Source organism: Homo sapiens, chromosome X (assembly GCF_000001405.40).
Source record: "Homo sapiens chromosome X, GRCh38.p14 Primary Assembly".
NCBI classification, from domain to species: domain Eukaryota; kingdom Metazoa; phylum Chordata; class Mammalia; order Primates; family Hominidae; genus Homo; species Homo sapiens.
Genome location: NC_000023.11, coordinates 41,212,160 through 41,239,187, shown reverse-complemented (window position 1 = coordinate 41,239,187; position 27,028 = coordinate 41,212,160). Strand labels below are relative to the sequence as shown.

General features: G+C 38.3%; 1 protein-coding gene across 8 annotated transcripts in view; it reads right to left on the bottom strand.

Moving 5' to 3' along the window:
* Window positions 2,609-27,028, bottom strand: part of USP9X (ubiquitin specific peptidase 9 X-linked) — a 151,135-nt gene continuing 126,715 nt past the window's right edge. For 4 of the 8 annotated variants that reach the window (NM_001410748.1, XM_047442548.1, XM_005272675.5 and 1 more), the window contains 12 exons: window positions 24,479-24,620; window positions 22,536-23,289; window positions 21,845-21,968; window positions 20,591-20,816; window positions 19,957-20,086; window positions 15,786-15,971; window positions 14,226-14,446; window positions 14,051-14,139; window positions 9,779-9,935; window positions 9,361-9,621; window positions 8,592-8,687; window positions 2,609-6,801 (listed from right to left, as the gene is read on the bottom strand). In NM_001410748.1, the coding sequence (NP_001397677.1) occupies window positions 6,664-6,801; window positions 8,592-8,687; window positions 9,361-9,621; window positions 9,779-9,935; window positions 14,051-14,139; window positions 14,226-14,446; window positions 15,786-15,971; window positions 19,957-20,086; window positions 20,591-20,816; window positions 21,845-21,968; window positions 22,536-23,289; window positions 24,479-24,620 (2,524 nt within the window). In that variant the 3' untranslated portion in view covers window positions 2,609-6,663. The remainder of the gene's footprint in view (window positions 6,802-8,591; window positions 8,688-9,360; window positions 9,622-9,778; window positions 9,936-14,050; window positions 14,140-14,225; window positions 14,447-15,785; window positions 15,972-19,956; window positions 20,087-20,590; window positions 20,817-21,844; window positions 21,969-22,535; window positions 23,290-24,478; window positions 24,621-27,028) is intronic. The other 4 variants (NM_001410749.1, XM_047442550.1, NM_001437534.1 and 1 more) reach the window with 1 other exon arrangement.

The window sequence follows — 27,028 nt, the reverse complement described above, 5'->3', positions numbered from 1 at the left end:
AAACCCCCCGTCTCTACTAAAAACACAAAAACATTAGCTGGGCACGTTGGCGGGTGCCCGTAGTCCCAGCTACTCGGGAGGCTGAGGCAGGAGAATGGCGTGACCCTGGGAGGTGGAGCTTGCACTGAGCCGAGATTGCGCCACTGCTGACAGAGCTAGACTTTGTCTCAAAAACAAAACAAAACAAAACAAAAACCCAACTTAATGGTACTAACTTACCAAATTTAAGCAGTCCCATCTAGGTTTCTGACTGATTTTAAACACAGCCTGAAAAAGTTGTTTCCTTAATCACCCAGCAGAAAACACTAGTTTACATCAAGAAATAAGGGCCACATCCTAAACATATAGACACCTGAGGAAAATGGATTCTGAAGGACTTTCCCTCAACATACCATGTGCCCTAAATGTTGACTCATTTCCTTGACATCCTGCAAATGCTTCCTCTTGTTAACAGCTATCGTGCAGGCAGTAGTTGGTGGGTCAGAAGGGAATGCAATTCTGAACCTCCATGAAGCATATCCTTTCTTCTCTCTGGTCCCAGCAGCATGGGAATTAAGACCCAGCCAAAATCATCCTTACTTCTGAACTCCAAAGGTGTACCAATGTTTTAATGGGTGGGGGAAGAATTAGATGAGAACATAAGATAATTAATGGCAAGTGATTTAAGAGACACAGCAGCAACACTGTTAAGAATACATTTCTATTCCTGATGCAACTGAATTGCTAAAAAGGACTCCATGGAAAAAAATGTTCCAATACCCAAAGTACCTATTTGGAATATTTTGTTTTTTAAACACATCTATAGGGTTGAATATAAATAGAAAATGAACACAATTCTTACTATCTTGCAAGGTGGCCCCCACTTGCTTACCTTTGAGGAGTTTGGCTAGTGCTGGGAAGGCTACAGAAGCCAGTTTCTTTTTTTTTTGAGAGTTTCACTCCGTCGCCCAGGCTACAGTGCAGTGGCCCCATCTCGGCTCACTGCAACCTCTGCCTCTGGTTCAAGTTACTCTCGTGCCTCAGCCTCCTGAGTAGCTGGGATTACAGGCGTGCGCCACCACACCCAGCTAATTTTTGTATTTTTAGTAGAGACAGGGTTTCACAATGTTGGCCAGGCTGGTCTCGAACTCCCGACCTCAGGTGATCCACCCGCTTCGGCCTTTCCAACTGGTGGGATTACAGGCGTGAGCCACCACGCCTGGCCTCTATACTCATTTTCTAACATAGGGAGTGCTTTGACAGGCAGAGACTAGTCCAGGGCAGCTGAACCATACTGGCAGAGCAAGAAAGTCCACTTGGTGTCTTAACTATAATGCATGTGAAAACCAGAAGCTACGACACAAAACTATCTCAAGAAGACCGCTTACACAGGGCACTTCATTAATAATTCGGTGACTCCTCAAAGGTTCAGTTCCATCAAGCCATTTCTTCATAAACTTGTAAATTGGCCAGCTTTGTTAGCAATTACACATAAAAATAGGGTTTCTAAGTTCCACTAATGGAAAAAAAAGCAATGTGAGAAAAGCCCACTACAAAAACCTATTTCCAGATGTGAAAAGACGTTTGTCATGACAAGGATTACTACCAGATGGGATACCCCACGTTTTAATATCCATGAAAGTCAGTGATTTTGCTTGCTGAGGCGCCTTGTAACCAATGGCATCTTGGATTTGTTGAAATGCAGTATATTGTCTAATGTTAATGGATCAGAATGAGACTTGTTTTCTCAGATGGCTAAAATGATTCCTATTTTACTCTTGAGTTTTGACCATTTAAATAGAATGACCTTAAAATAATCAACCTTTATTTAAATGGCTCTGAAACGTGTTCTATTTAGGAAAGTTTTTTGGTGTAATTTAAGAAATTTCTCTTGAGATTTTACCTCCCTAAAGTTACTGAAACGTTTTATGTAACCCCAACTTTAGTAAGAGTATCTAAACTTTCAGGTACAGATAAAAATAAAGATGTCAACTTTTTGCCTATCTCTAAGTTACCAGATTACAAGAAACAATTCAAAATATTGGTGGTGATGTAGATTTTCAGTTAGATGTACTCATGTAGCTAAAAATACTTAAAATACAGTCTAATCCAACTGGAGGGAGTTTTCCAAATTGCAGAAAAGTTAAATATTAGTTTTCTATTTAAAAAAATCAGTGAAATTAAATCCAGTGAAAATCTGAGATTTGTCTTTTAGCAGTTCTTGAAGTAACCCAACTTTAGGAAAGCACCTCCAGGTTTCTGAGGAAATCTTAATTTCCCTGGGACATGACAACAAAGAGCTATTTCTAGACACTAAAAAACAGCAGATGGAACTTGCTAGAGAGTTAACTTTCACTTCTGTGGCTCCCCTCAAAACATGTGGTCTGCTTTATTTCCAGTTTAAGAGAACTGAAACACCACAGTTTGCTGAATCTTAGTTTTAACTCTAAAGTCTGCAATTAGATCACAACTCATTTCTTTGAGGTCCTTAGGTGTGAATCCACTTTGGATATACACAATGATGGCTGAATTCCTCATAAACATTTCCCTTTAAAAAATTCCCTTCAGCTCTATTACACATCTACCTTGTTTAGAAATCTTGTATTAATAAATAAAGGGAAAACCGAAATTGAATTTATAAAGTTTTATTTTTGTATATGTGCTAAATCTTAGGAACTGTGAACAATCTTCATGTCAGTCTGTTGGCTTGTAAAAGGCTAAGAAGTGCATGACTTGGGTGGTGAAATTTCCTTTTAGGAATCTGAATCTCTAAATAAATTTTCACACATTTGCAGTTTTAAAATGTGGTGCACCTTGCCCCCGCTTCTCTTACACCTATAAATTTGGAGGGAAAGTGCTAAATTTCTGCAAACGTCAAGTAATTGTTATAAATACAATCAGCAGCAAATTCTCAATACACTTAGCACTTCTGTAGTGTTTTATCACACTCAAAAACCTTATTTGCAAAAACTGAACACTCACATATATGTAGGACCAATTCTGGTTGAGTCCTACTATGAAACCAATACTGTTTTTTTTTTCTTGGTAACACAAAAACTGGGGTGTAGGGGAGTGTTTTCCTTTATCGGCAGTATGTAGTACCTTCAAACTAGAGACCAAAACTGGGCACTTACAATGAAAAGGCAATTTTCTTATCCAGCTATAATCCTAAATAAGGCAGGATATATCCACCAAATTACCCACAAAATTCAGCAAAGTAAAATAGCTCATGGGAAAACATAAGCTGGAAAAATACTAATAAAAAAACTGAATTACTTCGAAGTAGTCATCTGAATATTCACAGACTTGTTTTCATTTACAAATGTAAGTCAAAAAAGTCTCCTCATCTTTCTAACCACTACGAGGATTAAGGATTTAAGTTATTCACTAAGTTAATCATGAAAAAAATAGAAAACATTTTAATTCTAAATTTGTATACACAACAGCTAAAAGACACAAGGCTGGGAAATTATCACCAGGAGAAAAATCAATGAAAGAAAAAAAAAACCTAGTATGTTATTTCTGCCTCTACAATGCTAAACATGAAAGTTCAGTTGGTGGAGGGCTTAGAAACAGCAGCAACATGGTTTAACAAGTTGTGCACTGAAATACTTAGATACAATAGGGCAAAAGCCCTTGTTCACATGGTTTTACAACTAAAATATCTTCAGTCTTTATGGTAACACATTCTACTGTCTTCTATAATCGTGTCATTTAGAATTCTGGGGGCTGTTTCTTTCAAAGGAAGACTGGCGATTCCGCAAACATTTAAAATAGGAAATATATGGCTCAAAAAATCAGTTGAGGGAGAACTAAATAATCCTTAGGCACTTTGAAGACTTGAAATTTAAAATGTGCCACTTGTGTTCAGAAAAAGACCTCAAAATCACCATTATGTTGCTCTTGCAACAACATGCATCTTTAAATTTCTGGTTATACATTAATGCTTGAGTTAAATATAGAAAATAATTTGCACAAACAAAAATAACTCCACTTTCCCTTGCTCCTAGTCACAACGAATACCACTCTTCCTCAAATGGAGACAAAAATGACTCACAAGCCCCTCACCTGGCACAAGGGGGCTTGTAACTTCAAAGCAACCAAGGTTGGGCTCTTCCTCCAAGCAGAAAAATTCACAGCCTTTTATATGTCAAGTTTTCTCTCAACTAGGAAGTCGTTAAAGTTTTTAAGTACATTACATATTTTGTTAAGGAGCAGCAGGAAATATATAAATCTCCTCTCAGATGGTGAGATGGTACACCTAACTCATCCAAATAAAGTTAACCTATTTCACTCGTTTAAAGAGCTTGGAATTGAGGAACTTTTAAATTAAAAAAACTATCAACTGGGGCCAGGCGCGGTGGCTCACACCTGCAATCCCAGCACTTTGGGAGGCCGAGGCGGCCAGATCACCTGAGGTCAGGAGTTCAAGACCAGCCTGGCCAACGTGGTGAAACCCTGTCTCTACAAAAATACAAAAATTAGCTGGGCGTGGTGGTGGGCACCTCTAATCCCAGCTACTCGGGAGGCTGAGGCGGAAGAATCGCTTGAACCCAGGAGGCGACGTTGCAGTGAGCCAAGATTGTGCCACTGCACTCCAGCCTGGGTGACAGAGCAAGACTCCATCTCAAAGAAGAAAACAACAAAAAAATAAAAACAAAACAAAAATCAGTTGGAATTGCAAACACCGTGTGTGACTTTCACTCAAAGTATCGGTGTCAAAATGTCCTACAGGAACACCTAGAAGCACAGGTTGACTATACAGTACTACAAATAAGATACCCAAAGCTTTATCTTAAATACCTGCCCCTTTTAATCACAAAATAATGCAATGCTCAATTTTGTTTCTGCTTTGTTCAGTTCCAAGTGTAGCCTTTTGACAAAACATTTCCCTATTAACTGAATTGTAAAAAATACAACCAAGCTTGTGCTCATTAAATATACATGTATATAAAAAACATACAAAAAGTACAAGATTATGTTAGGAAACTTTTACAGTGTCAACATCCTGATTTCTCAAAATCTTCAGTAGAGGGCCAAAGGTCAAATCTTTCTGTGCACAAAAACTTGATGTGACTGAAATCCTGAATCAGTGTCATGCCTAGGCATGCTATGCACAGAATGAATTTTAATATGCAGTCCTCTTTTAAAAAAAAAAAAAAAGGACAAAAAAAGTAACCAAAAAAAAAACCAAAAACACACCACAGGACAAAAAGTTCTTCTTAAATCAAATTCTATTTGTGAATTCAGCAAAATAATTTCTATAAAATAAAACAGCAAAATATTTAAATAGAATAGGGTGGGCTGTATCTGTTTGCAGGGGTATTTGGTTTTTAGACAGGTTCCAAAAAATTACACACATTCAAGTTACCAATTCTCTTTTAAATACAGTATGAACTGAGGATTTCCTTATTTTTAATCAAATGTTTATTCTGAAATTGTAATATCTCAATTATATCAACCAGTAGTTTCTTTTTTAATGAGACCCTGCTTTGAACGTTAAACGTTTTGGAATAATGGAAAAGGAGCTAGGACAATTCTTGCTTTCAAGTAAAATTGTGACTGAGCAGAAAATCAGCCAGCTATCTTGGTGCAGAGAGGTACTCCAAGTACCGTGGGGTTCTGATGACTTCCACGTCACTGGGATCCAACAGAAGGAAAGTTTTAGAAGATTCACCTAATAAACTCTACCAAAGAAACAAAACAAGCACACCAAATACAGTCTTATATTATGCTCCAGCATCTTGGCATAGCAAATTTTTGCATATTTGTTTTAAATCTTTAAAAATTCCCATTACTGATACGTAAGTGTTCTTTATTCCACCCAGAGATTGAACTGTCAAACATTATATATAAGGAACATATGTGCAACTGAAAATAGACTGTCACATTTCTCCCCTTGTTTTATATTTTAATATTCTAGGTGTAAGAAGTAAAAGCTCTGAGTAATACAGCTGTCACTTCTCGGACAACTGCTGTCATTATGGTAACTTTTTCCTCATTGGCTACACTAACTTGGTGTGAAGCCATGCTAAATGTTACAGCATAACTATAGCTTCAAAGTGATTAACCTAATATCAGAATAAAAAGGCAATGAAAAAAATCTAGAAACAGTGTTACATCACCAATTTTCCACATCAACCAAATAATTTAAAGGTTACCAGCCTTACATTGCTCATAGCAAAATTGACTCCAGTGGCAAAGAATTAACATGAAACTATTGGTGTGGCTGACATGGATGGGCTCTGTTTTGTTGCTGTTGGTTTTTTTTTTTTCTTTTTTGTAAAGGAGCTGATCCAACTGCCATGAGGCAGGCAACACTGGTTGCAGAGTGCAGTGGGTGTAACAAGAAAATTAACTTTTGTAGTTTGTGTAGATCTGTGAGTCTCATCAAGAAAAAAGTTTCTTGCTTAAGAATTAACAGTCAACATTAATATACTATATACACCTTTGCCATTTACACATTAGCATCAGGCCATTTATTACAAAACACTATACACTTTCCACTGCAGGCGGGTTATATATTGACAGCAAATTTCTGCAGATAAGACAGTGAATAAACTCTCCACTCCATGTTGATTAGGAATAGTTTTTCTAGTTTTAAATATTAGCCAGACACAGAAAAAGGTTGGACTGTAAGGCCTGGGTGCACAGTCTTGATGGAACCAGTTAATTATGTGCATTTCATTGATCCTTGGTTTGAGGTGGGGATACTTCTTCACTGCCTTCATAATTTTCTTGTGCTCGTTGGCCAGTTCTCTGAGGGTTGTTCATGTGATGTGCTGCTGGGCCTGTATATGGCTGTCCATGCACATGGTTATTCTGGGAAAGGAGAAAAGATCTGTATGTTAAAACTTTTCACATAGTAAAACAACTTCAAAATCATGGTCTGAAGTCTCTGGAAATGTATACTCTTATTCTTGGGACTTACTCTGTAAATACCCTTGGACTACTATAGTGCAAAACAAAAACAAAAACAAAAACAAAAAAAGGCTTGAAAAACGTAGTGTAAATGCAAACCCCAAAACCCTGAATAAGAGCAGTGATTGTGTAGGTCCACATAAATCTTTGGCCAAAGTGATTTTTAGTGCCAAAAATTATTTAGACTCAAGTCTGGCAAATAAAGGATTAACCCACTGTTGCTCTTGGTAAAAAATTTTCAGAGAATGATCTATGAGCATCTATTGACTCTTCCACATGCTAAATCCGATTGACTAACCATGATGTAAGATATATAGGAGCAGTAACCCTGAACTCACAATAATGCTGATTAAAAACAGAACAATGTTCAAGATGATAAAGTAACCAGGCATGATTAACATAAGAGCTTTCTCAGGGTCAAAGGAAGTTAACCTTCCTTGTGGATTTGGTTCCTTAACCTTTTAAAATGTCTGAACCCTACAGTGCTCTCATTTTTCTGTACATGCTCCATCAGCCAAGCCAAGATTTTAGGCTTAACTTTTTTTTTTTTTTTTTTGAGATGGGAGTTTCGCTCTTGTTGCCCAGGCTGGAGTGCAATGGTGCTATCTCGACTCACCACCACCTCTGCCTCCTGGGTTCAAGAGATTCTCTTGCCTCAGCCTCCTGAGTAGCTGGGATTACAGGCATGCGCCACCACCATACCCGGCTAATTTTGTATTTTTAGTAGAGACAGGGCTTCTCCATGTTGGTCAGGCTGGTCTCAAACTCCTGACCTCAGGTGATCCACCTGCCTCAGCCTTCCAAAGTGTTGGGATTACAGGCATGAGCTACCGCGCCTGGCCAGGCTTTACTTTCTATAGATGAAAATAAGTACGCTGAATGTGTACTTCCTAACTATTCAGTTTGCTTCTATGTACACAGTGAAATGTAAGAAAGAATGCCTGAAATGTTTCTCCAAGTATGGTTCCTGGACCACCAGCAGCATCACTTGGGAACTTGCTAGAAATGTACATTTTCCAGCCCCTTGAAGACCTATGAAATAAGACACTTTAGGGTAGCATCTAGCTCTCTGCTGGAGCAACCCTTCCAGGGAGACTCACGCCTGTGCAAGTTTGAGTACCACTGCCTCACAAGAGCTGATTTAGTCACATTTTGGTTTCAGAAAGAAAAAGTTATCATTTAGAATGTTTCTTCATCTCATTTCTTTTGCTATTTACTAGTTTATTTACTTTAATCACCTATGGAAATCTACCCAAATCCTTTTTTTTCCAGTGATTTTTACCATCACTGAAACCTGTGGCTAAGTAACCAAGGACTTCTTACTTCATTGCCATATCTTAATAATGTTTTTGGAATCCAGGTGAAGATTTTACCTCACCGGAAATGTCACCACAATCCTTTGCACTAAACAATGATCATTTTATGTTGATATAAATTCTCATACAGTTTTATTAACTACTAGCACAAGAAGGACACCTTCTTGACAAGGAAAACCCTACAGTGGTTAAGTTCAAACATGTTACACCATGACCCCCACTCCAAACCATCCCTCTTCTGGATCATGCTCCCAAAGCTAGTCTAGATAATCCTACTTCTTACTTTGTAGTCACAACAAACAATTGAGCCATCCTCTAAAATTAAGCATAAAACCCAGTTCTAGGGGATAAAAGCATAAACTGACTCCTGTTTACCTGTTGATACTGAGATCCAGGTGAATGGGGGTACAATGGGGCATCTTCAGGTGGAGGCGACTCATGTTCATCTGGAGCATCTTGGTCATCTGGCTCCTAATTTTGAATATTTCAAGATAAAAAATTACGTAGGCAAACTCAAGTTTACTTTTAACTTTTTCTATTTGAAATAAATTTTAAAAATCTACAAAACTGACCCATTAGCAACTTTTCTTTTACTGCAGATAAAGAACTTGGGGAAAAAACAAAAAAAAAAAAAACAAAACAAAAAACCTGATTTGCATTCTCTCAGAACTACTACATTTCAGGCAATTTCACAGAAATTTCTCCAAAAGAAAGCTCCCTTCATTAGCTTAAAATGACATAGAATAAACATTCTTTTCTTTTCTTTTTTTGAGATGGAGTTTCACTCTTGTCACCCAAGCTGGAGCCCACTGGCACGATCTCCGCTCACTGCAATCTGTGCCTCCTGGGTTCAAGTCATTCTCCAGCCTCAGCCTCCCAAGTAGCTGAGATTACAGGCGCCTGCCACCACGCCCGACTAATTTTTCTATTTTTAGTGGAGATGGGATTTCACCTTGTTGGCCAGGCTGGTCTTGAACTCCTGACCTCAGGTGATCCGCCTGCCTCGGCCTCCCAAAGTGTTGGGATTACAGGCGTGAGCCACCATGCCCAGCCGAATAAACATTTTTCAAAACCCAAAACTTCAACATAATCTTTTAATAATATCATTAATACATAAACACTGGCCTATAAAATAAAGAATTACTTTGCTCTCTTCCATTTCTATCTGCTGCACACTGGTGGCTTTTTTTACCTCCTCTGGACAGAGTTCACAAGCTTTTGCAAGTGTCATCCTAGCACTATGTGATCTCTCCAAGAAATAACCATTGGACGTTTCATTGCTTTGCACTGGGGGAGACCAATTGTTGTAAGTGTACTGAGGATTGCCAGTATATGGTCTTCTTTCAAGTTCATCTCCAAGCCATTCCACTGCCCAGGTCCACTTTCTTTTAAGATCTCCATTGCCCTGCAAAAGAAAATAAAACCATATAGATAAGAGGATTTGGAATACTTCAAAGTTAACTTAAAATGACAACCCCAAGTTCTCATGATTCTCTTCTTTTAAAACAGAATCCTTAATTCTGATTAAGATTTCTACAAAATTATAAGAAAAAAATCCTCACCTGCAGGATTTGGTAAGCAACAGGACAGTTACTAAATAGAGCTACCATACATTTTATACACTGGTATGCTCTTTTTTGATAGTGATTCTTAGAGCGCTGGATTGTGTCAAACAGCCCATCTCGGTCATCTGGAATTCCTTTCAGTGCATTATGAATTCTGAAAGAGAACCAGATATAAAATAAAAACATCTAAAATCTAATAGCTAATATATACTGAGTGCCTACTATGTGCCACTCAATAATGTCTTTTAGTCATTTAATCTAACATTAGACAATAGGTACTATTATTAAACCTTTATTTTTTATTTATTTATTTTTTTTGAGACGGCCTGGGCTGGAGTGCAGTGGCGCCATCTCGGCTTACTTCAAGTCCTGCCTCCCAGGTTCACGCCTCTCTCCTGCCTCAGCCCAACTACAGGCACGTGCCACCACGCCCAGCTAATTTTTTGTATTTTTAGTAGAGACGGGGTTTCACCGTGTTAGCCAGGATGGTCTCAATCTCCTGACCTCGTGATCCGCCTGCCTCGGCCTCCCAAAGTGCTGGGATTACAGGCATGAGCCACTGCGCCTGGCCTTATTATTAAAACTTTTAACAGGTGAGAAAATTGGCACAGAGTTACACAGCTTGCCGAGGTCATATAGCTGCGGAGCAGTGTGACTCCAGAGTCTGTGCTCTTACTAACTTATTACCAGTCCAAAATAATTCTGCCATATATGTAATTTAAACACATTACCTGAAGTGAATTCAGGACACTCGAGAGTAATGCAAACTTTAAAAAAGTTATAACTAAGTTTATGACTGCTGTAGTTGAGGGTAATTTGCTACACATCAATACCTTTTATAAAACTGCATCTCTGAAGGCAAGTTAGGATTCAGTGACATAATTTGGAGGTACAGTATTTGAATTCTAATAATGAGAATACATGGCAGGCAAAGCATTTTGACAGGCAATAGTACAATTTGGCTGATTTGCCAATAACACAGGATTTCATTTCAGTTTCTCCCAAACTACAACAGAGTAATAATACAAAGCCAACTAGTCCTGTCTTTCCCTGAACTAACTAACTTAAAACATGATTGTAGGGGCACAAACATGCCTTGTTTCTTTTGTGTTAAAAAGATTATGTGCCAGTAAATAAAATGTGGTGTATATATATCCATAAAACAAAATATTATTCAGCTATAAAGTAATGATACATGCTATAACATGGATGGACTCTGAAAACATTAAGCTAAGTGAAAGAAGTCAGACACACAAATTGCATGATTTCGTTTTTACCAAATGTCTGGAAGAGGCAAATCCACAGAGACAGAGAACAGATTAGTGGTTGCCAGGGTTAGAAGGAATGGTGAGTGACTGCTTAATTGGGTAGGGGTTTCCTTTTGGGGTAATAAAAAAAAATGTTCTGGGATGGGCACGGTGGCTCACATCTGTAATCCCAGCACTTCGGGAGGCCGAGGTGGGCGGATCACGAGGTCAGGAGATCGAGACCATCCTGACTAACACGGTGAAACCCCGTCTCTACTAAAAATACAAATAATTAGCCAGGCATGGTGGCGGGCACCTGTAGTCCCAGCTACTCGGGAGGCTGAGACAGGAGAATGGCGTAAACCCGGGAGGCGGAGCTTGCAGTGAGCCGAGATCGCGCCACTGCACTCCAGCCTGGGTGACAGAGTGAGACTCCCTCTCAAAAAAAAAAAAGTTCTGGAATCAGATAGTGGTAATGGCTATACAACATTGTGAATGTACTAAAAGTCACTGAATTGTATACTTTGAAATGGTGAGTTTTGTTATGTAAATTTTACCTCAATTAGAAAACATAACCTGGACACTGAGAATTTAAAGATTCTAATATACACTATGTATTTTACTTAACAGTATGTTTAAAGTCAAAGTAAGATTTTTTTCCTCCATCAAATGCATTCATGATTTCCAAACAAAACAGATTACTTCAACAATTTTGCAAAGCTTAATCATTTCAGACAAATCAACCATGTTCAGGCCCTCTTGCTGTTTCATCTGAAACACTACATATAAATTGCTTTTACCTTCAGTTTTTTCAAGTAACAATGAAGTGCTAAATCATTATTTCTGCCATATCATATTTTCTCCCCATTAGCATCAACTGCTCTCAAATGCCATTTTTATTAATACTATCTTCACTTGCCTTATTACCTGATGCCAAGCAGTGCTGGGCACATGGTAGACACTCTATAAATATTTGAACATTGTTTACTGAATGAACTAAAAGCTCATTATGAGAAAATTATTTTCACGTTTGGGCCAGTGATTCATTTAACAGTATCTTACTAATCTCATTACACAAAAGTGTAATTCCCACATTTAATCTAGCACGTATGTCTTTGCCATTATCACTTGCTCTAATCAAACAAGAGCTAAGATGTGATTAACTGGTTTAAAACTGTAAGTGCTTACAGTACTTTCTTTTTTAAAAAAATAGAGGCAAGATCTTGCTATGTTGGTCAAGCTGGCCTTGAACTCCTGGTCTCAAGCAATTCTCCTGCCTTGGCCTCCCAAAGTGCTTATTACAGGGGTAAGCCACTGTGCCCAGAAATACAGCATTTTTAAAAAAGAAAATAGTAAAAGTTAGATTTCATTAAAATCTACTCTGAAGGAAGCTTTCAAATCCTATGAACATATTTAGAAGGGCACTGAATACTGCCTGAATAAACGACTATAATTCTGAGCTACTATCTTTTGTGTCTCACGAAAATTGATTTTTGGTTTAATGCTATTTTTACAGTATTTGTTTGAAATCTATTATGGTAAATTTGGAGATAATTTGAAAATACTAAGTTGCAAATTCTGGCTTTCGCAATCCCCACTAAAACTCCAGATTGTTACTTCTCTTTAAGCATTTTGTTGTTACAGAACTTGTTTTTAAGTTTGTTTTATTACCTTGGCAGATGGGAGGCAAACTGCGACATAGACTTTGAATTGTTTTCCCAAACAAACTATTATACTATCTTCCATGTGGGAAGGGAAGTTCTAAAACCTGGCAGTGCTGTCAACTAATACCATAATTTATCATCTATTATATAACTCTTGGGATTAAAGATAATATATTCAACTTTTACTACAAAAAAACCCCCAAAAACAAATAGAAAAATTCTAGTGAAAGTTTGAGGGCCAGTTAAGCTGGATAACCTTAGTTTTTACGGGGGAAAAAAGTTAACATTCTAAAAGTTCTCATAAAAACTAATTATAATTGATCCCCTCATTATTCATGAATTCCACATTTGTGAATTCGCTTACTTCCTAAACTTTATTTATAACTGCAAAATCAATCATCAAGGTGCTTTCTTCGTCATCTGTGGACATATACAGAGCAGCAAAAATATCAAGTTGTCCAACACAAACGTTCCTAGCTGAAGTCCAGAAGAGTGTCATTCTCTCTTGTTTCAGCTTAAACTGTAAACAAGTGTCCTTCTTCATGGTGTATTTAGTGCCACATTTTCCACATATTTGTGCTTTTGCTGGTTATTTTTATGTTTAAAATGACCCAAGTATATAATGTTGAAGTGCTATCTAATGTTCCTAACCACAAGAAGGCTGTGATGTGCCTTATGCAGAATGCATTGAGAAGCTTAAGTTCAGGCTTAAGTTACAGAGCTGTTGGCTGTGAACTTTATGAGTCAACAAAATATATTAAATGACTTTAAGTAGAAACACACATACAACAAGGTTATGTATTGACTGGTTGATAAAAATGTAAACAGAGGCTTATAGAAACCTAATTCTGTATTTCCTCCTAGGAGTAATGGTTCAGTATTTGCTAACTCAGTGTCTGTGGTGACTTTACAGAATATAAGTACCATGAAAAATGGAAACCGTACTTACCTGAAGACTTTTTACATATACTATTATACTTCATGTGACTAATGACTAAGTTGCTTCAAGTGACTAATTCTAAAACAAATGTAATATAATCATAAAATAATCCTCGGGCATCATTAATGAAATTCAAATATTTACCAAATGCCCAAGCTAGCTCCTCCTTAATTAAAAAAGTCATTCTAAAGAAACAGGCTTATTAAGTATGAAACTTAGGCAGTGAGAAAAAAGAATAAAAAAGGAAATAAAATTCTGAGGAAAAGGGGAGAACCTGTTATTTACCCTTGTCCTAGGTTTAAGATAAAACATTCACTAGAACTCCAATAGGTTAAAAAAAATGTGGTGACTGTCAATTTCAGTTAACTCTAACACCTGGGCAAGCCTAATTGTTTCCAGTCACAAAAAGAGTATCCACCTGTGAGTTTGCCAGGAGTCCTCAATCAGTAAGATTTGCAAAAGCAGATCCAAATAGGGCCGCAGTTCATAGGTATAGGAATATGCAACCTAAAAACAAGTAAGACATGGTGAGTAACTTAATGAAAGGAATAACAAATCAAATTATAAACATACAAATGTTATTTTCCTTTTACCTGCCAGAGAAGTTCACTGAGGACAGTAGATGAGAACTGAGGATTCTCCCAGCAGCAAAAACGAAGCAATTTGACGGTTTCCTCTGAATTACTGCAGTCTTCAATGATTTTCTTCACATAACTTGTTCTCACAAATAAAATGTCTGCCACATTCTGCTGAATTGGCATTATAGGTTGTGATAAATTAGGATCACCAAAAGGATTGGGAAGAGGAGGATTACCTAGAATACAGATTTGTCACCAATAAAAAACTAATAAGCTTCTTCACAATAATAATACACAACTTTCACGATAGAAAATAGCCTATAATTTTTTTTTATTTTTTTTAAGATGGAGTCTCGCTCTGTCGCCCAGGCTGGAGTGCAATGGGGCGATCTCAGCTCACTGCAACCGCCACCTCCCAGGTTCAAGTGATTCTCCTGCCTCAGCCTTCCGAGTAGCTGGGACTACAGGTGCACGTCACCACGCCTGGCTAATTTTTTTGTATTTTTGTAGAGACGGGGTTTTGCCATGTTTGCCAGGCTGGTCTTGAACTCTTGACCTCAAGTGACCCACCCACCTCGGCCTCCCAAAATGCTAGGATTACAGGCATGAGCCACTATGTCTGGCCAAATGTTTTATTTTAGAGAAATAACATTTTAAATCAAGTTACCTAAGCACAACGAAGAAAGTAACATTATGCATTATAATGATCAGATAGATATACCAAGATATAAAAATACAAAATCTAAATATAAAAAGTTAATTTTTTTTTTGGACACAGGGTCTCACTGTGTCACCTAGGCTGGAGTGCAGTGGCATGACCACAGCTCACTGCAGCCTTGATCTCCTGGGCTGAAGTGATTCTCCCACTTCAGTCTCCTGAGTAGCTGGGACAACAGGTGCACACCACCACACCCAGCCAACTTTTTTGTTGTTAATTTTTAGTAGAGATGAAGTCTCGCTATGTTGCCCAGGCTCAAACTCTTCAGCTCAAGTGATTCTCCTGCCTTGGCCTCCCCCAAAGCATAGGGATTACAGGCATGAGCCACTGAGCCCAGCCTAAAAAGTTAATTCTTAAACTATTTCATAAACATGGTATCAACCTCAGTCACAAGGAGACAGAAAAAAGACCCCCATTAAACACGTAAAAAAGGTACAGGGCTAAAATATTCCAAAGCAAAAATCTTCCTCCAGACTCTTAGTACTATATATGCCCAGCAGCATTTAAAAACTACCGTAAAGAGGGCTGGGCATGGTGGCTCACACCTGTAATCCCAGCACTTTGGGAGGCCGAGGACGGCAGATCACCTGAGGTCAGGAGTTCGAGACCAGCATGACCAACATGGCGAAACCCCGTCTCTGCTAAAAATACAAAATTAGCCGGGCGTGGTGGTGGGCACCTGTAATCCCAGCTACTTGGGAGGCTGAGGCAGGAGAATGGCTTAAACCAGGGAGGCGGAGGTTACAGTGAGCCGAGATCACGCCATTGCACTCCAGCCTGGGCAACAACAGCAAAACTCTGTCTCAAAACAAACAAACAAACAAAACTAGTGTAAAGAATGGAGCATTCAAATTTACCATTGATTGAAGACTGCATTCTTGAAGAGACATTGCAACAGCGGATCAGCTGTGACACTACTGAGTATAATTTGCCTAATTCAGCATACTGGTATTTGATTGGAGGACCTGGACCTTCATCTAAAGACACAAGCATAAAAGTAGCAGGTACACTCAATTTCAGAAGCTGTGTCTTCTCTGCCACACCTACAACAAAAAGGAGTGAAGGGGAGAAGAAAGAGAGGGAGAAAAATATGAGGAAAAAATTAAGATGGCAAGGGCTTCATGAATAAAACAAGTAGTTATACAAAATATCTTGTCTATAATTTTTATGATCAGAAAAATTTTGATTTGTAATTTTATCACTTTTACTTAGCATTCAGAGAATTATTTTACTAGAAAAGAAAACTCACCCATTGAGTATAAGTATTAACATTGTTCAACAGTGACTATGACTATGACATTCCAATCACACCGGCTCACTGTAAGGAAGATGAACACTTTCTTTCTTTTTTGAGACAGTCTCGCTCTCTCGCCAGGATGGAGTGCAGTAGCATGATCTCAGCTCACTGCAACCTCTGCCTCCCGGGTTCAAGCAATTCTCCTGCCTGAGCCTCCCCAGTAGCTGGACTACAGGCACGTACCATGCCCAGCTAATTTTTGTATTTTTAGTAGAGACGGGGTTTCACCATGTTGGCCTGGGTGGTCTCGATATCTTGACCTCATGATCTGCCCGCCTTGGCCTTCCACAGTGCTGGGATTATGAGCCACCACGCCCGACCAGAAGACGAACACTTTCTACAGCCTGGAGAGTCTAAAGGGACTAACCAACACTGCAACCCTCATTTGTAAGGAGGATGAAAACAACAAAATAACTACATTAAATGAGAAGCAAAAACTCTTTTATAAATTGCCTGCCTCTCTTCTTTCCTCTACAGCCAAACTTCTTGAAAAAGATACCTACATTTGGTCTCTCTACTTTCTCATTTTCTATTCCTCAACTCATGCCAATTTGGTTTTGGCCCCTCTTCACAGTAATAAGCTAAGGAGCAGTTCTCAAACCATAACCACTTCTTCCTCCCTGGATTCCTGATTTTCTTTCTACCTCTTTTTGTTCTTATTTGCGACTCCTCCTTGTCTCTTAAAAACTGATGTTTCTCCAAGTTCCCATGCCAGGCTATCTTCTCACACTGATTTCCCTGGATGATCTAGCCCACGCTCACGGCTTTAATGTTCTAGATATCTTCATTCAGATGATTCAAAAACATTTCAAGACAAATTACTTACTGTTCTACTGTATATCTCCATTTGGGTGTCACACAGGCTCAAACTCAATCTACCCAAACTGAACTCACCCCTTTCTTCCCATACATACATGTTTCTCCTCCTGTGTTTCCCCTCAGTAAATGGTACCACTATCCACTCACAGTTGTTCATGTTAGAATTTTGGGCATCATTCTTCACATCTCTTCCCTGTCCCCTCCTTCTCTGAATATCCCATCACCAAATCCACTGATTCCACTTCTTATAAAAAGCACCATATATCTATCTGTCCACTTGTATCTCCCTCACTGCCAGTTCTCCAGTACAGGTCACAATGATCTTATGTCTATAGATCATTTTAACACTCTCTGGGATCTTACTCCACTGCAATACATTCCACACTGTGGCCACAGTGCTCTTTCTAGATGGTATTATCTGTTCAAAACCCTACAATGGCTCATCCAATGCCTCAGTCTCTCTCACAAGGCCTATTAGAACTGCATGATCAGAAACTCCTGCCATTCCCATCTTACATCAATTCTAGTCAGACTGGACAATTTTCATCCCATCCAATAAGCCACGCCAAGTTTATCAAGTCTTTGCATCTGCTGTTCACACTCTAGATGGAAAGCTCAACTAACCAATTCCCACGTTACATTCCCCATTAAGTCTTCTGCACTCCCCAAATCCCTTCAGGTACCATGCCCCCCGTGATGCACTTTGCATTTTCCCTATTATAGCTATTAACATATTTTATGGCAACTACATTATTTGCTTCTATATCCCATTAGACAATCTTATTTATTGCCATATTCCCAAAAACATAATAAAAACAGGTCCACAACCTCTTATCTGAAATCCTAAGATTCCAAAAGCTATTTTAATTTTTAATTTTTTTTAAGATGGAGTCTCGCTTTGTCTCCCAGGCTGGAGTGCAGTGGTGTGATCTCAGCTCACTGCAACCTCCGCCTTCTGGGTTCAAGCGATTCTTCTGCCTCAGCCTCCTGAGTAGCTGGGATTACACGCATGTGCCACCACGCCCGGCTAATTTTTGTATATTTAGTAGAGACGGGGTTTCACCATGTTGGTCAGGCTGGTCTTGAACTCCTGACCTTGTGATCTGCCTGCCTCGGCCTCCCAAAGTGCTGGGATTACAGACGTGAGCCACCGCGCCTGGCCCAAAAGCTATTATTATAACAAGTTTTTTTTTTTTTTTTGAGACGGAGTCTTGCCCTGTTGCCCAGGCTGGAGTGCAGTGGCGCGATCTTGGCTCATTGCAACCTCTGCCTCCCAGATTCAAGCCTCAGCCTCCCGAATAGCTGGGACTACAGATGCCCGCCACCACGCCCTGCTAATTTTTGTATTTTTAAGTAGAGATGGGGTTTCGCCATGTTTGCCAGGCTGGTCTTGAACTCCATACCTCAGGTGATCCGCCTGCCTCGGCCTCCCAAAGTGCTGGGATTACAGGCATGAGCCACCTCGCCCAGCCCAACAAAGTTTTTCATTAAGTTGCTGTCAAAATGTGGTTGGTGGGATAACCTAGCCCAAACTGACTAAAGGCTACTTATAGTCTTTATTTCTCCCTTCAGTATAAATATTCATATTTTACTGTAGAAATATTAATGTGTTCAATTGTAAGTTGTTGTCTCAGACCCTGCTATAGAGATGTTGGTATATGCACTGCCTTGCTTTTCTTAAATCCAAACAATTCTCAATCCCAATGCATATCTGATCTTAAGGACTTCATATTAAGGTTTACAGGCCCTACAGTATTTGTTTTCAGCAGGAAAATTTTACAAGTAGGTTACATTATGGAACAATGATGTGTGCTTTGTGAACAGGCAATATCTAAAAGAGTTGAACAGAATAGGATTCTTCTGAATGTCTAAATTTGGCATTTTTAAGTTTGAAATACAGATTCCACTTATGCTTGTCTGTGTAATAAATATTCTCTTTCTCATCTACAAATACCCAAATATCTGCAATTACGGAAAAGACAAGGGAAAAGAAGACAAACTAAATAGACAAATGAAAAGTACAATCTCCCTTATGTTAAAAGGGCCATGGATCCAATGGTGATTAAGTAAGATCACAGAAAAAAAACCTGAAACGACAGGTACGCCTGGATATAGAACTTCATTTTGGATATATGACTTTTTGGTTTGTTTGCTTTTTGGAGACAGGGTCTCATTCTGTTGCCCAGGCTGGAGTGCAGTGGTGCAATCACGGGTCACTGCAGCCTCAACCTCCTTAGCTCAAGTGATTCTCCCACCTCAGCCTCCCAAGTAGCTAGGACTACAGGCATATGCCACTACATCCAGCTAATTTTAAAATTTTATTTTGTAGAGATAGGGTCTCCCTATGGTGCCTAGGTTAGTCTCCTGGGCTCAAGCAATCCTCTTGCCTTGGCCTCCCAAAGTGCTGGGAGTACAGGCATAAGCCATTGTGCCCGGCCCCTAAATTAATATTTTAAGCGAGTATTTATATTATCCATAATTGTAGTTTACTTAAACAAAAACTTATGTACAGACCAAGTCTGCTATCTAAATTTGGTGAGTATCACAACCATTTGGGGACCCCTTTGAAAACATGGATTCCCTGACATTAGCTTTGGGGATGCTGATTCAATCAGTGTGAGAAGAGGCCTAGAAACCAGTATTTTCCAAAAGCAGCCAGATTTGGCACCACTGCATTAGGAGATTAAAAAAAAAAAAAAATCAAAACACAGATTCTGACCTGTGTCTACCACAAAGACACATGCATAAACAAAGTAAAAGGTGAAAGTGCCATGTTCAGATAAAATTCACAACAGGTTTTATGGGAAATTGTTTCTACTTCAGATCAGATTATATTTCATCACTTGACCTAAATGACTTCACAATTTAATATGATACATCAAAACAGAATTCTGAAAAACTTAAATTCTTACCTAAATTGGCATACATTACAAACAGGTTGAAATACTGCTGTAAATGACGCCCATGCTCTGAAACTTCCCTTCTCAAGAGATTTAGTACTGCTCTTAGTAAGTGATCACTCAAGCTTAAGTTGTCATAAGCCTGTAAAGGATAAAACATTACCTGTTTTACAGCAACAAGGTATATGTATACTTCTACTTGCATAAAAAGGACATGCACATATGCTGATACAGGCATACATTTATGGAAGGACTGATCACACAAACTAAACTATTTTGCTTCTTGGGAAAGGGAATGAAGATCAGAGGCGGATTTCATTATAATTTTTTACACTTGTAATTTTTTAAAAAAATCTAAGACTATTTAAAAAACCTTCAAAATAGGAAAAAATCTACTTAACAGTAAACTTATAATTAAGCTACTGCATGTAACCGAACAGAGAAAATTCTCTTACATTTTTAAAGAGCCAATAATTACTATTCATTGCCATGCAGTAATATTAAATGGAACTCACTGACATCATATTGTGTGTTTCTGTTAGGTAAACATATCAAGTGGATGCACATATGCTTGTGACTTCGACTTCCAGGAAACACAATTTATTTGTAAACATCTCATCATTTAGAAAGAAAGCTGTGCAATTACCTGACTAGAAGGTCCAGGAGAGGCAAAAGGTGAAGGACATGGCCCATCTTGCAAGGAAAAATGTGCAATAAAGACTATAAGTTTTGCAAACGCACCCCTCACTTCTGCACTAGGGCACTCCAGAAGGTATTCGGAGAAGCGATTTGAAACATTAAAAAGGACGTTATGAGCAAACCAAAAACGTACATTCTTGCTGTGACGAAGGAGAATACACAATGCATCATACCTAAAATAAAACAAAAAAACCTATGACTATTAAGTCAATAACTTGTTCTCTATAGTAAAAGGATGAGTCTCATTGAACCAAAAAAAAAAGACAAAGATCTTCCTCTACTGCTGGAGAGAACCAGCAAAGGTTGCTTCTAATATTAAAACAATAGATAAATACTATGACTTGGTCTATTCTCTCAGAGTTACCAAACAGGTGAAAGCTTGTCCTCTAAAAATCCATTAACAAACTCTTCCTAGATTCAATGACAAAATACCACCCCCTTATCTTGACATATTCCTGAAATGAGTAAGTAAAAATTATTAAATCAATGTATCATAATGGCCTCTATACTTTCACAATTAGAAACTTAAGAAAACCATTTTAATTTTTTACCCTTTTAATCGGTGTCAGAATTCAATCTAGGTAAGCTAAAACCTAATAAATTTCATAAGTAGCTTACACTTTTCAGTCTCATCTTGTAATCTTTGGTTTTGTTTGAGACAGGGTCTTGCTCTGCTGCCCAGGCTGGAGTGCAGTGGCACAGTCATGGCTCACTGCAGCTTCAACCTCCCAGGCTCCAGCGATCCTCCCACCTCAGCCTTCCGAGTAGCTGGGATTACAGGTGTGCGCCACCATACTTGGGTAATTTTTAAAATCTTCTTTGAAGAGATGGGGGTCTCACTATGTTGCCTAGGCTGGTCCTGAACTCCCGAGCTCAAGCAATCCTCCCACCCTGGCTTCCCAAAGTGCTGGCATTACAGGTGTGAGTCACTGTCCCCCAGTCTCAGCTTGTAGTCTTTGGTGCAGGGATGTCAAAGATATGATACAAGGTAATAGAAGCAGAAGTCAGCTTCTGAATAACAAAAGGCCATGTTTAGACTAAGTAACTATTTTAATATGATTTCTCTATTGTGACCCAGAGTTTTTATTCTATATTCCAAACTTCAAACAAAATTCTCTTGGTTTAGAAAAACATAAAGCAATCTATTAAAGAAGCAAACCAAACATTAGTATAATAGGAATGAAAATCCAAAGCAATGTACCAATCACTGGCAGAGCCACGGACTACTTTCTTTGTGTGAAATCCTGTAGTAAAGAGGAACCTAGCAGCAAGTTGAATACTGATCATAGTGATTTCTTCTGCTTCAGGCAACAGGTGATCTTGCCCTATAAATAAAATGCAGATATAAAAACACATTTTTATTTTCCAACCCCATTTTCAAACAAGTCTGTGTTTCCATTAATTTTGAGAAGTCCTAAATTTGTTAAGAACCCTTCTCAGGCTACTTTAATTTAGACCCATTTATTTTTTTATTTTATTTTTTTGAGATGGAGACTCACTGTCACCCAGGCTGGAGTGCAGTGGCCATCAATTTGGGTCACTGCAACCTCCACCTCCCAGGTTCAAGCGATTCTCCTGCCTCAGCCTCCGGAGTAGCTGGGACTACAGGGAGTAGCTGGGACTACAGGTGCATGCCACCATGCCTGGCTAATTTTTATATTTTTAGTAGAGATGGGGTTTCACCATGTTGGTCAGGCTGGTATTGAACTCTTGACCTCAGGTGATCCACCTACCTCGGCCTCCCAAAGTGCTGGGATTACAGGCGTGAACCACCACACCCAGCAAATTAGACTCATTTAAAGTGAAAACATTAATTTTATGAACTTAAACATGTTGACGCCTACTATAAATTATTCTTTATTACTAAGAAGCTAAACTCTCTTGATACTCACCGGGAGGAGGGTTTAAGTAAACGCCATTACATGTAAGCAGTTTTTTCATAAACTGAAAATACTCCATACTGTACTGCATTCGGTTATGCATGAATTGTACGTTCTGTTTCCGTACACTTCTCTCAATGGCTGATGGCATAATAATCTGATGAGGTCTGGTGGTGATAGCAAGCTCTGATATATATCTTATCAACTCATCATCTTGGTCTATTGTGTCCATTCGTTCATAAAAAAGTATATAAGCATTCCACCACCTTTTCTGGCGCCTGTATGACATACGCTTCATCATGTGATCAAACACTTCTCCCATGTACTCTCCACCAAAACACTGGTTTTTCATTTCTTCGTCATCATCCATTTTACATTCTGTTACATCACCATCATCAAATTTATACCAGCGATTTCTCTCACCATCTCCACCATTCCTTTGGATGATGTAAGAATAATAATGCCCCCCACTCGCTTGACCACTGTGTACGAGCACACCCACAAGTCTGTATTTTGTGCTTCCTGCTGTCTCACTTTCAGACTGCTCACTCTGTTGTATCAACTGACTCTCTGGGTTTACATTATCCCCTTCCAGCTTTGCGACACCTGCAACTGTGTAAGGTTCCATGTCCAGCTCTCGAGGAAATTCAAAATAATCATTGAACTTGATTGCACATTCTCTTTCCCAGTCATAGTCAAATCGCTTTAGTTGTATAGCAAGAACAGGAGGTAATTTTTTAATCAGCAAGCGCTTTACGGTATCAACCTAAAATAAACAAGACAAAGTTACCAGATGTTCTATTAAAATCCACAGGAAAAAAAAAAAAACCCCAAGCAAACTTTTAAATGATATTAAGACTTATCTGAATTTTTAAGTATAAACAAATACATGACAATGAGCATAATCAAGATAATCCTATCAGCTGATTTAAATGCTGAAATTAATAATATGCAAATGGTAAATTGTTGACTGGTTTCTGTCATTGTTATCTAGCCATTATTACCTGTTTGATGTTTACTGTTGTTCCCACGAAGGTGGTTTCCTATGCACAAACCAAAGAACTACAATAACAATAAGAGTAGCTAATATTTGTTGGGTAATTCAGATGCCAGGTAATATATACTAAGTGCCGCACAAGTAAAAACATACCGAATCCTTACAACCTTCTCAAGTGTGTACTACTGAACCTTAAAAGATGAAAACTAGTAATCACAGAGAGGTCAAGTAACTTGCCTCAGGTCTCAGGAGCTGCAGGTGGCAGGCAGTATGGCTTTACAGCCCACAATCTCAATCTTTAAACTTCAGGACTTCTCTAAGTGGTGCATAAGGCCAAAACAACACAAGTGACTTGAGGGTGAAAGGGTTTGGGAGCTCCCAAAGATACACCTTATTCATTACTATAATGCGTGTGAATCATCTCTCTCAAAGAACTGCTAATAAGTTTCCAAAATAAATGGTTTTATAACATAGGTGATAAAAGAAATCTTATGGGCCACTTGACTAGTCTAAAAGAAATCTTATGTGGTTCAATAAAGTAATTAATGGTTTCAGCAAATGTTTTGGTCTTGACAAGTAATCCTGGACATGACAGGAGAAATGTTTTCCTCTATCAGCTCTGTATCTTTGAGGGGTTCAATGGCAATTTGTTTCTCGGTAGAGATGGAAAGTGTCTGTGTAACTTATATAAGAGAATGTGCTATCACGTTATGACTTTTAAAATTATTCACTCTTATTTACCTATTTTTATCTTATTTACCTAGCCCCTTTGGCACTACTTTTTTTCCTTCCTTGCCAAACCTTCTATTAGTTATCATATTGACTACTTCTCTGCTACCACTATACCAAAGTAGGAGAAAATAAAAATAGGGTGACTTGTGAGGATGAACCAAAAAAACCAATTTCTTCTAAATCCATTAAATGTAATCAAAATTAAACAAAACTGGACAGCCCGTACCTTTTTATTGCATTTTTCACAATGATATGCATTTGCACCTTCTAGTAAATCTCCTTTGACATACTGTTCCAAAGAATCAAGAAGATTTTGGTGATTTCTAATGTCTACGTTTAGGGTCGTAAAAGATTCTTCACATTCGTACCTAAAAACGATTTAAAAAAAGGATTTATCCCTTAGTTTTGTAAACATTTTAGTTATGGACTTAATGTAAACTACATTTGCCTTTTTTTTTTAAATTATACTTTAAGTTCTAGGGTACATGTCCACAACGTGCAGGTTTGTTACATATGTATACATGTGCCATGTTGGTTTGCTGCACCCATACATTTGCCATTTTTATAATGCGAAACCCGTAAGTCATAGAATGTTAGCAATAAAAAAGTTAACTTGATCAAGATTATTAGGTGAAATGGTATTTTAAAGTTGAATCTGTCTGGGCTCACAGCTTAATCTCTTTGTAGTATACGATGCTGCTTCTAGTGTTATCTGTTTAGATAGTAATTCATGCTGAAGCCAAAGCATGAATTTATTAAGTTCTGAAAATGATAAACTACGAATAAGCTAAATTTTTATATATTCTTCCTTTTCTGTAATGGAAGCCTTAGTAAAGCAAAAGTTTGCACACACAAATGAGTACAGGATTAGCAACCTGAGAAGGAGCTAGAATCCCAGTTTATGGTCATTTTCTACCAAAGAGACTTTCCAATTTCTGGTGAGACACATGCATAAATGCAAAACAAGGGATGTGAGGAATACATTATTAACCATTAATTCATCCAATGGATAGACTGAGAGTGCTTTCTATGTGTAAAAGTACTGAGGGATATTCACTGTTTAAGATAGTCCCTTATTTAAGGAATTTTAAACTCCGGAAAAAAGGTACACAAAGGCATTTATAAATTATATGAATGGAATATAAAGCAGGTATTAAGCAAATTTTTACTATATAATCAGGGAACAGCCCATAGAGGGAAAAAAGTTAGATCTTAGACTACACTTCAAAAGTAGGATATTCTTCAACATCTATAAAAAGAAGGTGTTCTAACATTAGAGGACAGCAAAGTCTTTCTGTAAAGGGCCAGATAGTAAATTTATCTTAGGCTTTGTGAAGCATATGGTCTCTGCAGCAAGTACGGACGCTCTTTGCTTATGAAATGGCTACAGCCCAATAAACCCATCATAAATTGAAAATATCATAAGCTGAAAATGCATTTAATACACCCAACCTACCAAACATCATAGCTTTAGCCTAGCTTACCCTAAATGTGTTCAGAACACTTATATTAGCCTACAGTTGGGCAAAATCTTGTAACACAAAGATTCATGTAATTCAATGAATACTGTACTGAGAGTGAAAAACAGAATGGTTGTATGGGCACTCAAAGTAGAGTTTCTTTCTTTTTTGTTTTTAATGAGGTGAGGTCTCACTCTGTCACCCAGGCTGGAATGTAGTGGCATGATCACAGTTCACTGGAACTTCTAACTCCTGGGCTCAAGCGATCCTCCTGACTCAGCCTCCCAAGCAGCTGGGACTACAGGAGTCCACCCCCATGCCCAGCTAGTTAAAAAAATAAGACTAGTTTAGCTGTTGATCAGGTATAAGGATCTGATTTCAAGACCATAATCTTTTGACATTTCACTTGCCAAAGAAAACCAGTGATTTCCAAATAATTTAGAAAATTGTCTAAAACTAAGGAGGAGTAACATGAACAAATGACCCCAAAGTTGGCTGTTTTTATCACTAATTAAAAACAAGGTTAAAATTTTATTTTATTGTTCACCTAATATAAAAGGCCTTTCAAAAGGACTAAAAGTTGCCTAGGCTAAGTGAATAAGTATATTCCCTAATTATGAATGAGTGGTAAGACTATAACTTGCTAGAAATTTCTCATTTATATAGTATTACCTCTCACCCAATCATTTCCTGGTAATCAAAAACAAAACACCCCCACAAACCACATGTGTACTCAACCCATGACTATATTTAATACAGTTTGGATTGTAGAAAATACTATCTTACTGTGACATTTTGGTGAAAAACGATTGCAAATCAACATTAATCCATATTATAACAAGTCCCAAAGTAAAACTTCCATATGACAGGCATGTATATTTATCAGTAATGAACTCATTAACTATTTCTAATAGAAGCCCTTAATCAATTTTCAAGTCAAACAATTTGTTTTGTCAATGTTTTTCTTGTAAAATCTTTTTTTATTTTTATTTTTTTAGGCTTTTTTTTTTTTTTTTAATTGATCATTCTTGGGTGTTTCTTGCAGAGGGGGATTTGGCAGGGTCATAGGACAATAGTGGAGGGAAGGTCAGCAGATAAACAAGTGAACAAAGGTCTCTGGTTTTCCTAGGCAGAGGACCCTGCGGCCTTCCGCAGTGTTTGTGTCCCTGGGTACTTGAGATTAGGGAGTGGCGATGACTCTTAACGAGCATGCTGCCTTCAAGCATCTGTTTAACAAAGCACATCTTGCACCACCCTTAATCCATTCAACCCTGAGTGGACACAGCACATGTTTCAGAGAGCACAGGGTTGGGGGT